General features: G+C 36.6%; 1 long non-coding RNA gene across 10 annotated transcripts in view; it reads left to right on the top strand.

Annotated features, from left to right (window-relative positions):
* LINC02331 (long intergenic non-protein coding RNA 2331) overlaps window positions 1-14871 on the top strand; it is a 165830-nt gene that overhangs the window by 85969 nt on the left and 64990 nt on the right. For 9 of the 10 annotated variants that reach the window (NR_184221.1, NR_184218.1, NR_184212.1 and 6 more), the window contains one exon: window positions 14758-14856. This is a non-coding gene — a long non-coding RNA (long intergenic non-protein coding RNA 2331). The remainder of the gene's footprint in view (window positions 1-14757; window positions 14857-14871) is intronic. The other variant, NR_184220.1, reaches the window with a different exon arrangement.

Genomic DNA, 14871 nt, shown 5'->3' with positions numbered 1-14871 from the left:
GCACATTCTAGGTTTGTTCAAACAAGGCCTTCTCTATCTTCCAGAATATATAAGTTGACCTTCCACAGTCATCTAGTTCACAAACTAAATATTTAAAATTTGAGCCCATTAAGTAAATGCAGTTTATCCAAATCTCATGTTGTAATGAGAGAATGAATTTGGAAGAATCCTGCCCAGTATAAAGACAGTATTCCTCCCTAAGAACCTATTGTAAACCAAGATCACTTAGCTGAGGATTGCTATAAACACATATAAATCCACCAAATAAGGGCGCGATATTAAATCACAGAGAGTAGAATAATTTTTAAAAAACATAACATCCTTGTTCTGTGAGACAGAAATCATTTATCCAGGCATTTCTTGACTATTTATGCATATTCATTTTTCCAGACGAACATTAGGACTATATTGTACATTTTTTAAAAAAGCAACTTGTGATTGTATTGTAACTGTATCTTTACATTAGTCCAGTTTTCTTCATGGCGCTCAGGAAGATTTTTTCATATGGGTTGTTTTTGCCCTTGTGAATGAGACTTTTACATTATGGGGTGTTTTGGGGGGAATATTTTATTTTCTTACTGAAATAAAACACAAATTCTGTTGACCATATTAAGGTCCAAGTTAATCTGGTTAAAGTTCAATTTTTTCCCCTTTCTTTTAATTTTTTTTCTTTGTGACAGAGTCTGACTCTGTTGCCCAGGCTGGAGTGCAGTGGCAGCATCCACAACTCACTGCAGCCTTGACCTCCTGGGCTCAGGTGATCCTTCCACCTCAGCTTCCAGAGTAGCTGGGACCACAAGTGTGTGCCACCATGCCCAGGTAATTTTTCGTATTTTTTGTAGAGGCAAGGTTTTGCTATGTTTCCCAAGCTGGTCTTGAACTCCTAGACTCAAGCAATCTGCCTGCCTTGGCCTCCCAAAGTGCTAGGATTACAGGCATGGGCCCCCACGCCTGGCCTAATTTTTTTTAAGCCGATGTCATGCATGCCCACAGAAATAAAAATATAGACATACAAATGATAAGAAACAATGATCTACTACCATAAGGCCTGCTTCTGCATTCACTTCCATTTTTTTTAGAATCAACTTTGTTGAGGTATAATTTACATATGATAAAATTAACCCATTTAGTGTACAGTTTGATTAGTTTTGTTGAATGTCTATGGTCCTACAACTGCTGGTGCAATCAGAATATAGAACATTTCCATCACCTCAAGAAAATTTCTTTGTGCCCCTTTGCAATTGATCCCCTCCTCCACCCCATCCCTGACACCCACCTTTATACTTTTTGTTACTTTTGTTTTTTAATATTCTAATATTTCCTATAAAAGGAATTACACAATATGTAGTTTTTTGTGTCTGGTTTATTTAGCTCTGTATGACTTTAAGAATCATCTGTTGCTCTGTTGTGTGTATCAGTAGTTCACTTATTTTTATTGCTGGTAGTATTCTGTTGTATGGATATACCACAATTTGTTTATCCATTCATCAGCTGATGGGCATCTGCATTGTTTCTGGTTTTTGACTATTATGAATAAACCTGCTATAAACATTCTTGTATAAATCTTTTGTGGACATATATTTTAAATTCTTTTGAGTAAATGCTTAGGTGTTGGATTTCTGGGTCATATGGTAAGTGAAGTTTTAAAGAAACTACCAAAAGTTTTCGGCAAGCATCTATACTATTTGATACTCCCACAACAAATGTACAAGAGCTTCAGTTAGTCCACATCTTTGATAACACTTGGTATAGCAGACTTTTAAATCTTATACATTCTAGTGTGTGTTGGAGTATCCAATGGCTTTAATTTGTATTTCTTTTATGACAAATGATGGCAAACACCTTTTCATGTGTCTATGTGCTATGCATATATCCTCTTTGATGAAGTGTCTATTTAAATTTTTGGTGTAATTTTATTAGGTTGCGTCTTATTATTGAATCATAGGAGTTATTTTTATATGCTAGGTATGAGTTTGCTACCAGCAGACATTTTACGAATATAGTTTCTTATAGTTTCTATTTTCATATTCTTAACATTGTCTTTCAAAGAACAGACGTTCTTAATTTTGATGCAGATTATTTATCAATTTTTTTCTTTTACAGATTGTGCTTTTCTTGTGTTGTGTCAAAGAAATCTTTTTGCTGACCCAAGATCAAAAAGATTTTCTTCTGTTTTCTTATAGAAGTTGTACAGTTTTAGCTCTTATCTTCAGGTTTATGAGCCACTTAAAGTTAATTCTTGTGTACAATGATAAGGGCCTACGTTGTTTTTATATGTAGTTGTCCAATTATTTTAGCATGATTTATGAAAAGACTATCATTTGCCCATTGAATGGCCTGGAACCTTTGTTGAAAAACAGTTAAATTTATACAGGAGCATCTGCATATTTGGTATCTCTCCTGTTTCATTACATATATGTTTAACCTTATGCTAATATCACAATGTCTTGATTACTGTAGATTTTATCCCTAGAAGATATTCTCTTTTATCTCCTGTTTTTCTTCATGTCATGGTCACATTTTTCCTCTGCTACCTTGAACACGCAGGGCACATTTATAATACCATTTTAGTCTTCTGTCTAATTACATAATTTCTGTCATATCTGTGTCTTTTTCTATGGACTGATTTGTCTCCTGGTTATGAAGCATATTGCATTCATTCTCTGCATGCATGGTAATTTTTAATTGGATGCCAATGAATTTTTTATTATTATTGGTTGCAGAATTTTGTTGTACTTTAAATAGTGTTTGATTTTGTATATATAGTTAAGTTTCTTGGACTTATTTGGATCATTGTGAGCCTTTTGTGGCTTTGTTAGTTGGGGTTCTGAGACGCTGTTAGTGTAGTGCTAATTGAGCCCTATTATACCTTCTACCTGATGCTCACATGTTACAACATCTTTCCCTTCCAGCTAATAGAACAAGAATTATTCCTATCTCTGTTGATCCACAGGAATTCTTCTGCCTACTTCTTTTCAATTATTATTTCCTGTCTTATATCTGGCAAATAAGTACTTCACCTGCTCTTTTAAGTATTTCCCTAAATCTAAATGAATACAATACCACTGTCTCTCAGACATGTCCCATAGACACGATCTGTTGACTCTCTGCTGTGGTGGATATGGATCTAGCTTTTTTATACTAATCTTGTCTTCTCCCTCTCCAAGTGAGAAAGAAGGAGAAGATGAGGTTAGCATAAAAGATGATTTCTTTGTTTTATTTCAATTTCTTAATCCATCTGTTATTGACAGTATCTCTTGACTCCCATCTTGAGATGAGGATGTTCTTACCCTCACCATACCCATCATATTTCCTTCTACATTCCACCTGCCAGCTTCTCTCCACTGCATTTGACATTGTCAAGGAAGATAATTACACTCTGTTTGATAAGCATGTCTTCTATGTTTTTTTTTTTTTGAAAACCCGAAACAAGATAAGTTATTTCCATGTAAGTCTTGTTCACCAGAGAGTCACTATTATAAAATGGTTATATTTCTTTCTTGGTGGTTTTCCAGTATCTGACCTCATGCCTCTCAAAAAGAATATTTCTAGCATCAGGTATCTTTTTTTTCTTTTGAAGACAAACTTTTATTTCTCTCTGGAAGTTTTCTATATATTTTCTTTAGTCTTGAAGTTTTGAAACCACACAATGATATATATAAGTGTAGCTCTTTCTTGTTTCATCTTACTCAGAACTTGGTAAATTATCTTACCTTGATGATATGTGCCCCTCAAACTTGATAAACTTATTTATATGATACCTTTTATACTTCCTCTTCTTTGAGTTCCTTGTCCTCCTTTGCTAGATTGATTCTGTGTGTATTTGGATTGAACTTCTATGGATCATATCCCCTCCCACCACCACTTTCTGCATTTTAATCTTTTAGTTCTGCTTTCGGAGATTTATTCAACTTTATTTTTTAAAGTTTTTAATTAAATTATTTTATTTCAGCATTCATCTTGTTACATTTTAAAAGGTTTTTATTTTATCTGATATTAGCATCATTTTTAAATTGGAGGATAAAATATTCTTGTGACTCTATGGATGTTAATTAAATCTGATTTTTCCAGGTTTCTCCATCTCTACAAAAGCAGTATATATTTTTTCCTCTTGGCCTTTCTCTTTGATATTGCAGATTTTCTTCTAATTTCTGGTGATCTTTGATTGTCCGTTCTTACCCTATGATTACAAAGGATGACTGAAAGCTGTCTGGTTATAGATGGGTTTATCAACAAGCAGGCCTTGCCTTAGTGGTGGTCATTGGTTATTATGCCAGAGGAACCAAATATCGGAATGAAGGCTTTATCCCAATTTTAGAAGTTATTTTTCTCATTCCATTGGTTTGCATTATACCTTTAAGCATTATACTTAAACTTATCATTCCTGGCTGCTTTAGTTTGGGCAAATAGCCCCTACACTTTTTTTTCACTTTCCATACTCTCTTCTATCTTTAATTTCACGTTGTCAAAATTTGCTATGTAACTACATTTAATTTCTGAGTGATTTCCTTATAGATGTATTCTATAATTTGAACTTAAGATTTATGTTGCTTACATACGATATTATAACCACATAAATATTGTTCTTCATGGAGCCCAGTAGTATGCTGGTACTTCATTTCCTTCTCTATTAGTCCAAAGTTGTGTCCATTTCATCAAATAACAAATATCCATGTCTTTTCTTGCATTCCATTGAATGTTCACAATTAATTCACATCTTAGTTTACTTCATAATTAGACCCTGACTTTCTTATACAGTTGTATTTTTCCTTTAATTTCTCCTTGCTATTCTTTTTTCTTTCAGAAGAAGAAACATATGCTTTGCTCACTATGCACTAATATTATGCAGAGTCTTAGTTATTCTGTTTTTTGCTTGGAATTCACTTTTTTTCTTCTTGACAATAATTTTTTTGGAGCTTTGAGATATTTTGCTTTGCATTTTAAAAATGAATGAGTTATAAAATCTATTTTATTTGCAAAATGTCTTATAAGAAAATCTAAAAATATACTTTCTAATTTGCGGGAGAATCTATGGTTTCTATACTAGTTAGATTAGTTTTAACAAGATCCATGAGGACATAGTTGATGGATTAATTATCACAAGGTTGGTGAGCCAATTCATGTTTTAAGGACAAAACATTCCAACAAGTGCAGTTTCCAATAACACACATACACAGTCCTAAGGTCACAGGTTACAATCCATGGGAGATGATTATTTGAAAATCACTGGAAACACTTTTTCTCTTGGTAAACAGACTAGTTAAAAACTAAATCTCTTGATGCAAAATAAAACATAAATATAAATGATAGAGAAACTTTGCCCTCTTGGCTAAGGCTTTTTATTCCTCTAAGTAAATTTTTCAACCTCCTTCACCTTTAAAACAAAAGTTTGTGTCAATAATATTTTTCATCTTTATGGTTCTAGTTTAAATACCATTTTGCCTTGTGATGCATAATTTCACCGGTAGTTTTAAATAAGGCTGAATCAAGATATTTGGGGCTTATAATTTCCTGTTTATTTGGAGCCAACTGTTCTAATTGAGGGTGATTGCTTTCAAGGCCCGTTGTCCAACAGCCACTCTGGTTTCTTTTCATTAGTCTGTGATTTTGAGCTGTCTTCTTCCTTATTGTTAACTCTGAGTTTGCTGGAGAATTCCTCATGTAACTCTAACTGATCATCCTTGTGTTCCTGTGTATCAAAATATCTGTATTTTTTCCTCATTTGTGATTTATAGTTTGTCCTGGTGAAGAATTTTGGATTACAAAGAAAGGTTTTTGACATGTTTATTTGTTTATGCATTGTTAGCAATTGCTTATTCTATTTCACTGTGATTATAAGACATAGTACATAATTTATGCCTTTAGGGAATAAGTTTTTCTTTTTCACATGCTGTGAAATTAATTTTTGAGGAAAAGCTATCTAGATAGTTGAAAAGGAAGTGTATTTTCTACCATGAGAGTAATGAGCTTGGTAAATATTTATTACAAACATTTTAAATTACATAATTGAAACGGTTTATATTCTTATTTTTGCCTATTTGATCTATCAAGAAGCAACTGCCAACTATTAATTATTAATGTGTTTCCATTAGTCCTGACATTGTTTTCCTTATGAATTACTTATCACATTAATGTAGATAACATATTCCCATGGAGAAATGTGCTTTTTATTAGTACAGAATGACCAAATTTAAATTCTTTTTTATTTTAAATGTTATTTTAGGTTCAGGAGTACATGTACAGAGTTTGTTACATAGGTAAACTGCATGTCACAGGGGTTTGATATACATATTATTTTGTCACCCAGGTAATAAGTGTAGTACCCAATAGGTATTTTTTGATCCTCTCCCTTCTCCCACCCTTCACCCTCAAGTAGGCCCCAGTGTTGATTGTTCACCTCTTAGTGTCCACATGTTCTCATTGTTTAGCTCCTATTTATAAGTGAGAACACGTGGTATTTGGACTTCTGTTCCTGTCTTAGTTTGCTTAGGATTATGGCCTCCGGCTCCACCATGTTGCTGCTAAGGGTATGATGTCATTCTTTTTTGTGGCTGCATAGTATTCCATGGTGTATATGCACCACATTTTCTTTAGCCAGTCTACCACTGATGGGCATTTAGGATGAATCCATGTCTTTGTTATTGTGAATAGTGCTGCAATGAACATTCATGTGCATGTGGCTTTATGGTAGAAATATTTATATTCCTTTGGGTGTATACTCAGTAATGGGATTGCTGGGTCAAATGGTAGTTCTGTTTTTAGCTTTTTGAGGAATCACCACACTGCTTTTCACAATGGATGAACTAATTGACACTCCCTTCAGCAGTATATATGAGTTCCCTTTTCTCACAACCCCCCCAGAATCAGTTAGTTTTTAACTTTTTAATAATAGCCATTCTGACTGGTGTGAAATGGTATCTCATTGTGGTTTTGATTTGCATTTCTCTTGATTAGTGATGTTGAGCATTTTTTCATAGGCTTGTTACCTGTATATATGTCTCCTTTTGAGAAGTATCTGTTCATGCCCATTGCCCACTTTCTAAGGGGGTTGAATAGAGTTGTTTGTTTTTTGCTTCTTAATTTATTTAAGTTTCATATAGATGCTGGATATTAGACCTTTGTCACATGCATAGTTTCCAAATATTTTCTCGCATCCTGCAGGTAGTTTATTTCCTATTTTGATAGTTTCTTTGGCCATGCAGAAGCTCTTAAGTTTAATTAGATCCCATTTGTCAATTTTTGGTTTTGTTGCAATTGCATTTGGTGTCTTCATCATGAATTCTTTGTCAGGTCATATGTCCAGAATGGTACTGCCTAGGTTGCCTTCCAGGGTTGTCAGAACTTTAGGTTTTACAGTTAAGTCTTTAAGTCATCTTGAGTTGATTTTTGGATATGGTGTAAGGAAGAGGTCCAGTTTTGATCTTCTGCAAATGACTAGCCAGTTATTCCAGCACCATTTATTAAATAAGGAGTCCTTTCCCCATTGCTTGTGTTTGTTGGCCTTGTCAAAGATCAGATGGTTTTAGGTGTGTAACATTATTTCTTCGCTCTCTATTCTGTTCCATTGGCCTTTGCATCTGTTTTTATACCAGTAGCTTGAAGTTTTCCTTTTTGTGTGTGTGTCTCTGCCAGGTTTTAGTACCAGGATGACGCTGGCCTCATAGAATGAGTTGGGGAGGAGTCCCTCTTCCACAATTTTGGGGAATACTTTCAGTAAGAAAGGTACCAGCTCTTCTTTATACATCTGGTAGAATTTGGCTATAAATCTGTCTGGTCCTGAGCTTTTTTTGATTGGCAGGTAATATGGTTTGGCTTTGTGTCCCCACCCAAATCTCATCTTGAATTGTAATCCCCATGAGTCAAGGGAGGGACCTAATGGGAGGTGATTGGATCACGGGGGTGGTTTCCCCCATGCTGTTCTTGTGATAGTGAGTTCTTACAGAATTAATGGTTTTATAAGTGGTAGTTTCCCCTGCTGTCCCCTCTCTCCTGCCACCTTGTGAGAAGTTCCCAGCCTCCTCTTTGTCTTCCACCATGATTGTAAGTTTCTTGAGGCCTCCCCAGCCATGAAGAACTGTGAGTCAATTAAACCTCTTTTGTTTATAAACTACCCAGTCTCAGGTATTCTTTCTAGCAGTGTAAAAACAGACTAATACAGTAGGCTTCCTTTTTTCTTTTTTTTTTTCTTTTTTTGAGACTGAGTCTCACTCTTGTCACCCACACTGGAGTGCAATGGCACAATCTCAGCTCACTGCAACCTACACCTCCTGGGCTCAAGCGATTCTCCTGCCTCAGCCTCCTGAGTAGCTGGGATTACAGGCACCCACCACCACGCCCAGCTAATTTTTGTATTTTTGGTAGAGACAGGGCTTCACCATGTTGGCCAGGTTGGTCTCAAACTCCTGACCTCAGGTGATCCACCCACCTCTGCCTTCCAAAGTATTGGGATTACAGGCGTGAGCCACCATGCTTACTTATTCAATTTCAGAACTCATTATTAGTCTGTTTAAGGATTCAATTTCTTTCTGGTTCAGTCTTGGGAGATTGTATGTGTCTGGGAATTTATTCATTTCTTCTACATTTTCTAGTTTGTGTGCATAGAGGTGTTTGTAGTAGTTTCTGAGGGGCTTTTGTATTTCTGTGGGGGTCAGTGGTAATGTTGCCTTTGTCATTTCTAATTGTGTTTATTTAGATCTTCTCTTTTGCTTTATTAGACTAGCTAGTGGTCTCTTTTATTAATGGTTTCAAAGAACCAACTACTATATTCACTGATCTTTTGTATTTTTTTTGCCTTTAAATTTCCTTCAGTTCAGCTCTGATTTTGGTTATTTCTTGTCTTCTGCTTGCTTTGGGGTTAGTTTGCTCTTGTTTCTCCAGTTATTCCAGTTGTGATGTTAGGTTATTACTTTGAGGTCTTTTTAACCTTTTAATGTAAGCATTTAGTGCTATAAATTTCCCTTCTAAACACTGTCTTAGCTGCGTCCCAGAAATTCTGATATGTTGTATCTCTGTTCTCAGTAGTTTACATTTTAAAAAATGTTTTGACTTGAATTTTATTTCATCTGATGTAAATATATTGAGATATTTTATATTTTAGTTTGCAGTGGTTGTGTGTGTCTCTATTCATTCAGTTACTTTAAACATTTATCCAACTGATATGTATATTTATTTTTGACTCATTCTGGGTGCTGTTTTTCTTTAAATTGTAGTTAAGCATTATTATCAGAACTGTATTTGTTCTCACTTCTGTTACCTTATTTCATATTTCCTTTACTGTCCTCTTGATTGTTCCTTTGTTAATCAATACTTTGTCATGCTAACTGCATTTATTTTTCATTTAAAGTTTTATGTCCTAATTCAATTTATCTAGAATTTAACAACAAGATAATCAAAAAACACACATGATTTTTTATATTTATAATGTGCAAAACATCTACCTTCATTTGCTTTAAACCTCCTCTTTCTCATTGAATTTCCCATCCAATTTTTATTGAATTTATAATAGAAATAATTAGATTATGTTAATTATTACTAAAATATTGCTTTTAGTATGATATCTATTATTTAATATTTTGGCTTGAAAATGTTTTTATTTTTAACCTTTGTGGGTATATAGTGGATGTATATATTTATGTGATATATGAGGTATTTTGATACAGGCATGCAATGCATAATAATTACTTCAGGGCAATTAGGGTATCCAACCCCTCAGGCATTTATTCTTTGTGTTACAAACAATCCAATCATACTCTTTTAGTTATTTTAAAAATGTACAATTAAATTATTTTGACTATAGTCACCCTGTTGTGCTATGAAATACTAGGTATCTTTCAAACTATTTTTCTGTATCCATTAACCATCCTTACCTCCCCGACAGCTCCCATTGCCCTTCCCAGCCTCTGGTAACCAACATTCTACTCTCTGTCTGCATAGAGCAGAGATGCCCTGGGTCTGGTCCACAAAAACATGTTTTCCTCCTAGGCCTCCAGGCCTGTGATGGGAGGGGCTGCTGTGAAGGCCTCTGACATGCCCTGGAGATATTTTCCCCATTGTCTGGGTGATTAGCATTTGGCTCCTTTTTACTTATGCAAATTTCTGCAGCTGACTTGAATTTCTCCCCAGAAAATGGGTTTTTCTTTTCTATCACATTGTCAGGCTGCAAATTTTCCAAACTTTAATGCTCTCCTTCCTCTTGAATGCTTTGCTGCTTAGAAGTTTCTTCCCCAGATACCCTAATCATACCCTAAATCAAGTTCAAAAGTTCCACAGATTTCTAGGGCAGGGGCAAAATGCCACCAGTCTCTTTGCATAGCAAGAGTGACCTTTGCTCCAGCTCCCAGAAAGTTCCTCATCTCCATCTAAGACCACCTCAGCCTGGACCTTATTATCCATATCACTATCAGCATTTTGGTCAAAGCTATTCTCTAGGAAGTTCCAAGGTTTCCCACATTTTCCTATCTTCTTCTGAGCCCTCCAAACTTTTCCAACCTCTCCCTGTTACCCAGTTCCAAAGTTACTTCCACATTTTGGGGTATCTTTATAGCAGTGCCCCACTACCCAGTACCAATTTATTGTATTATTCATTCTCATGCTGCTAATAAAGATATACCTGAGAATGGGTAATTTATAAAGGAAAGAGGTTTAATTCCATATAGCTAGGGAGGTCTCACAATCATGGCAGAAGACAAAAGAGGAGCAAGGCATGTCTTACAGGGCAGCAGACAAGACAGCATGTGAAGGAGAACTGCCATTTATAAAACCATCGGATCTCATGAGACTTGTTCACTATCACGAGAACAGCACAGGAAAACCCAACCCCATGATTCAATTACCTCCTCCCATGTCCCTCCCATGGCATGTGGGGATAATGGGAGCTATAATTCAAGATGAGATTTGGGTGGGGACACAGCCAAACCATATCAGGGAGTTTGATTTATTAGATACCTTGAGGTAGTCTTCTTTAGGTTAAATCTGCTTGGTGTTCTATAACCTTCTTGTACTTGAATGTCAATGTCTTTAAGTTTGGAAAGTTCTCTGATATTATCCCTTTGAATAAACTTTCTACCCCTATCTTTTTCTCTATCTCCTCTTTAAGTTCAGTAACTCTTAGATTTGCCCTTTTGAGGCTATTTTCTAGGTCCTGTGGGCATGTTTTTTGTTTTTTATTCTTTTTCTTTTTATATCTTCTGACTGGGTATTTTCAGCCAGAGAGTTTGAATAACCTGCCTTCAAGCTCACTAATTCTTTCTTCTGTTTGATCAATTCTGCTAGTAAGTGTCTCTGATGCATTCTTCAGTACATCAATTGCATTTTTGACTCTAGCATGTGTGCTTGATTCTTTTAAATTATTTTAATCTTTTGGTTAAATTTATCTCAGAGAATTCTGAATTCCTTCTCTGTGTCATCTGGAATTTCTTTGAGTTTGCCCAACATAGGTATTTTTAATTCCCTGACTGAAAAGTCACATGTCTTTCTTTCTCCAGCATTGGTCCCTAGTACCTTATTTAGTTTGTTTGGTGAGGTCACATTTTCCTAGGTGATCTTGATGCTTGTAGATATTTGTCGGTGTCTGGGCATTGAAGAGTTAGATCTTTATTGTAGTTTTTACATTCTGGGCTTGTTTGTGCCCATCCTTCTTCAGAAGGCTTTTCAGATATTCAGAGAGACTTGGGACCCAAGCCAATATAGCTGTGAGTTTTTGTAGACTCAAAGAGGTACTGCCTTGGTGGTCTTGGATAAGACCTGGAAGAATTCTCTGGATTACCAGGCAGAGACTATTGTTCTTTTCCCTTACTTTCTCTCAAGCAAATGCAGTCTCTTTCTCTGTGCTGAGCCATCTGGAACTGGGTGTGTGATGGTGCAAACATCCCTATGGCGATCACCACTGGGGCTGTGCTGGGTCAGACCTGAAGCCAGCACAGCACTAGGTCTTGTCCAAGGCACACTGTAATCATTACCTGTCTACCCATTATGTGCACTCAAGACCCTAAGGCTCTATAATCAGCAGGTGGTGAAGCCAGCCACGTTTATGTTCTTCCTTTCAGGGCAGCAAGTTCCCCAGACATTGGGTGGGCTCAGAGATGTTGTCTGGGAGCCAGGAATTAGAGTAAAAAATGTTAGAAATTTGCCCTATGGTCTATCATACTATGGTTACAGTAGCACTCAAACCACAATATAAAGTCCTTCCCACTCTTCCTTTCCCTTTCTGCAGGCAGAGGGGCCTCTCCCAGTGGGTACCACCAGCATGGGCCCCTTGCGGCAGGGTGGTTCTTCCAGGCCACCACCAATGTTCACTTAAAATCCAAGAGCTCTTCAGTCAGCTTATGGTGAACATTGTCAAGCCTGGGATTCACCCTTCAGGGAACTGGACTCCCCGGTAGCCCAGGGAAGGCCCAGAAATGCTGTCCAAGAGCCTAAGCCTAGACTTGGGGATTCCAAAGTCCTGCTTGTTGCTCTACCTGACTGGGGCCAAGCTGCTACCTAAGGTGCAAGACAAAGTCCCCTTTACTTTTTCCTCTGCTTTTCCCAAACTCAAGGAGTCTCTGCAACCACCACAACTGGGAATGTGCTGGGTCACTTCTGTAGTTAGCATGTCTCAGACCCCAAGGCCCATGATATGCTACCTGGCTATCACTGCTGGTTATTTACGACCCAAGAGCTGTTTAGTCAACCAGTGATGAATGTTGCCAGGACTGGGTCCTACCTTCAAGGCAGCAAGTTCTCTTTGGTCTAGAAATGTCTTTTGAGAGCTAGGGCTTGAAATGGGGGCCTCATGACTCTGCCTGGTGTCCTATCATATTGCAGCTGAGCTAGAATCCAAAATGCAAGTCAAAATTTTCTTTACTCTTTGCCTTCATCCCTTAAATAGAAGAAAAGAGACAATGTTGTGGCTGTGAGCCACACTGCCTGGGTTTGGGGAATGGATGGCACAAGCATTCCTTTAGCTGCCCTGGCTGGTGTCTCCCTAGGTCACATGCCACCCTAGTCTTCTGGCTCTGAGCCCGGCCCAGCACTAGAGAGTTGCCTAGGAATTGTAGTCCTTGTGTCCTAGATTGTCTTTCAAGTTTACCTAGGACCCCAGGGCACTTTGGCCTGCGGTGGCAAGGCTTGCTAAGAAACTCGAGTTCTGATTGCTGAAATGGGCAATTCCCCTCTAGCTAGCTCTTGTCCAAATGCTCCCTTCTTGCACAGGCACTGGCTGGGCCCAGCACATCTTTACTCTTTGCTACATCAGGTCAGCACTGAGTTCAATGTAATGTTCCCCAGTCACTGCACCATCCGTCTGTCAAGTGCACAGACTGTCTGTGCTGCACAGCTGCTGCCAGGGTGTAGGGTAAGAGTGGCTTTGGTGATTCACGACTGTGTCTCTGACCTTCCTCAATGCCTCTTTCAATGATATGAAGTTAAAACTAGGTACTGTGATTGCTCACCTGATTTTTGGTTCTTGTGATGGGGCTTTTCTGTGCACAGATAGTTGTTAAAATTTGATGTTCCTGTGGGCGTTACAGACAATGTAGGCTTCTATTCGCCGTCTTAAATTATTCCACCCCTTAAATTAGTTTTATGTGTAAATGTCTTCCAGTTACCACATGTCATTTGCTATCACTATTTCTATATTTTCTGATCTTTTATTTTATTTCATTTTGAGGGTATAACTTTGAAGAAAAATAGGTTAATCATTATAATTGTAAATTTGTATATATCTGAGAATCTCTTTGTGCTGCTTAATGTAAAATTGTGGGTAAGAGCCTTTTATAAAATTGTTGCCACTTCATGATATTCCAGCATTGAGTGTAGAAAAATATCTAATAGGTAAATTTTTTTGTCTTAATGATTTTAGGATTATTTTTACTTAAAACTTAATTTTCATTAAAGTCTGGGTTTATTTTCTTTTTATTAAATTTATCTGATTAATGGTATGGTATTTTAATCTATATAATGATAGCTTTCTCATATTAAGAAAATTTTCTTCTTTTTTATCTTTGTTCAATCTGTTCCATTTGTCTTTATATGTACTGATTAGTTTTCCTTTGTCAATTTTCTCGTCTGTAATCTTCACTCTTGTTGATTTAATTTCCTTGCCTTTTTTACCATTCACAGAATGCTTCTTAGTTCTGCCTTCTATATCATTGATTTTGCTTTTACTAGGTTAATTCTAATTTTTACTATTTATATGTTAATTTCAAAGCTAATACTAAATTTACTTATGTTTATTCAAAGTGTTCTATTTTTCTGTAGTTTTAGAAACATTTTTGTGCCTCTTAGCCCCCTTCATTTTCATTTCAGTTGGTTTTCTTCTCACTTTATCTCTTGTTTCACAGATTTCTTGTATTCCTGAATTTCCTTGAGTATATTAAGCAGAGGTTATTTAAACTTGACCTGAGTTACTTATAATTAATTATTTCTAAAACATAGCTCTCTACCATGTCTTATTTTATATTATTGTTATTATTTTAAGGTTAATAATTATAGGATAAGAAGCTATCTGAAGTTTGGATTTGCCCCCAAAAGAGTATTAGTGAGGTTTCCTTGGATTCCCTTGCCATTTTCTGGGTTGTGTTTGAATTCTTCTCTCATCTCTTAAGGTGAGGTTCTGATTGATTTAAGTTTATATCATCAGTTCAGTGATTCAGCACCTTTAAGGAAGTGAAAGAATCATGGATTGACCAGGATCTGTGCTTTCTTCTCCATCTTTGGTGACATCTTCTATGGTGGGGCCAACTCTTGATATCTACATTTACCTGTCCTCCACTTCAGTTACAGGTGGAGATGTGTTTACCTGCTGGATACCAATGCTTCTAGCATCAGGGAGAAGTTGAGCCCTGGAGGAAACATTGCCTCTAAGTTTGTGTTCTGGTAAGTCCACTCCTG

This window comes from Homo sapiens, chromosome 14 (assembly GCF_000001405.40).
Source record: "Homo sapiens chromosome 14, GRCh38.p14 Primary Assembly".
Lineage (NCBI taxonomy): Eukaryota > Metazoa > Chordata > Mammalia > Primates > Hominidae > Homo > Homo sapiens.
Note: the sequence above shows the minus strand (reverse complement) of the source record. Positions and strands in the feature narration are given on the sequence as shown.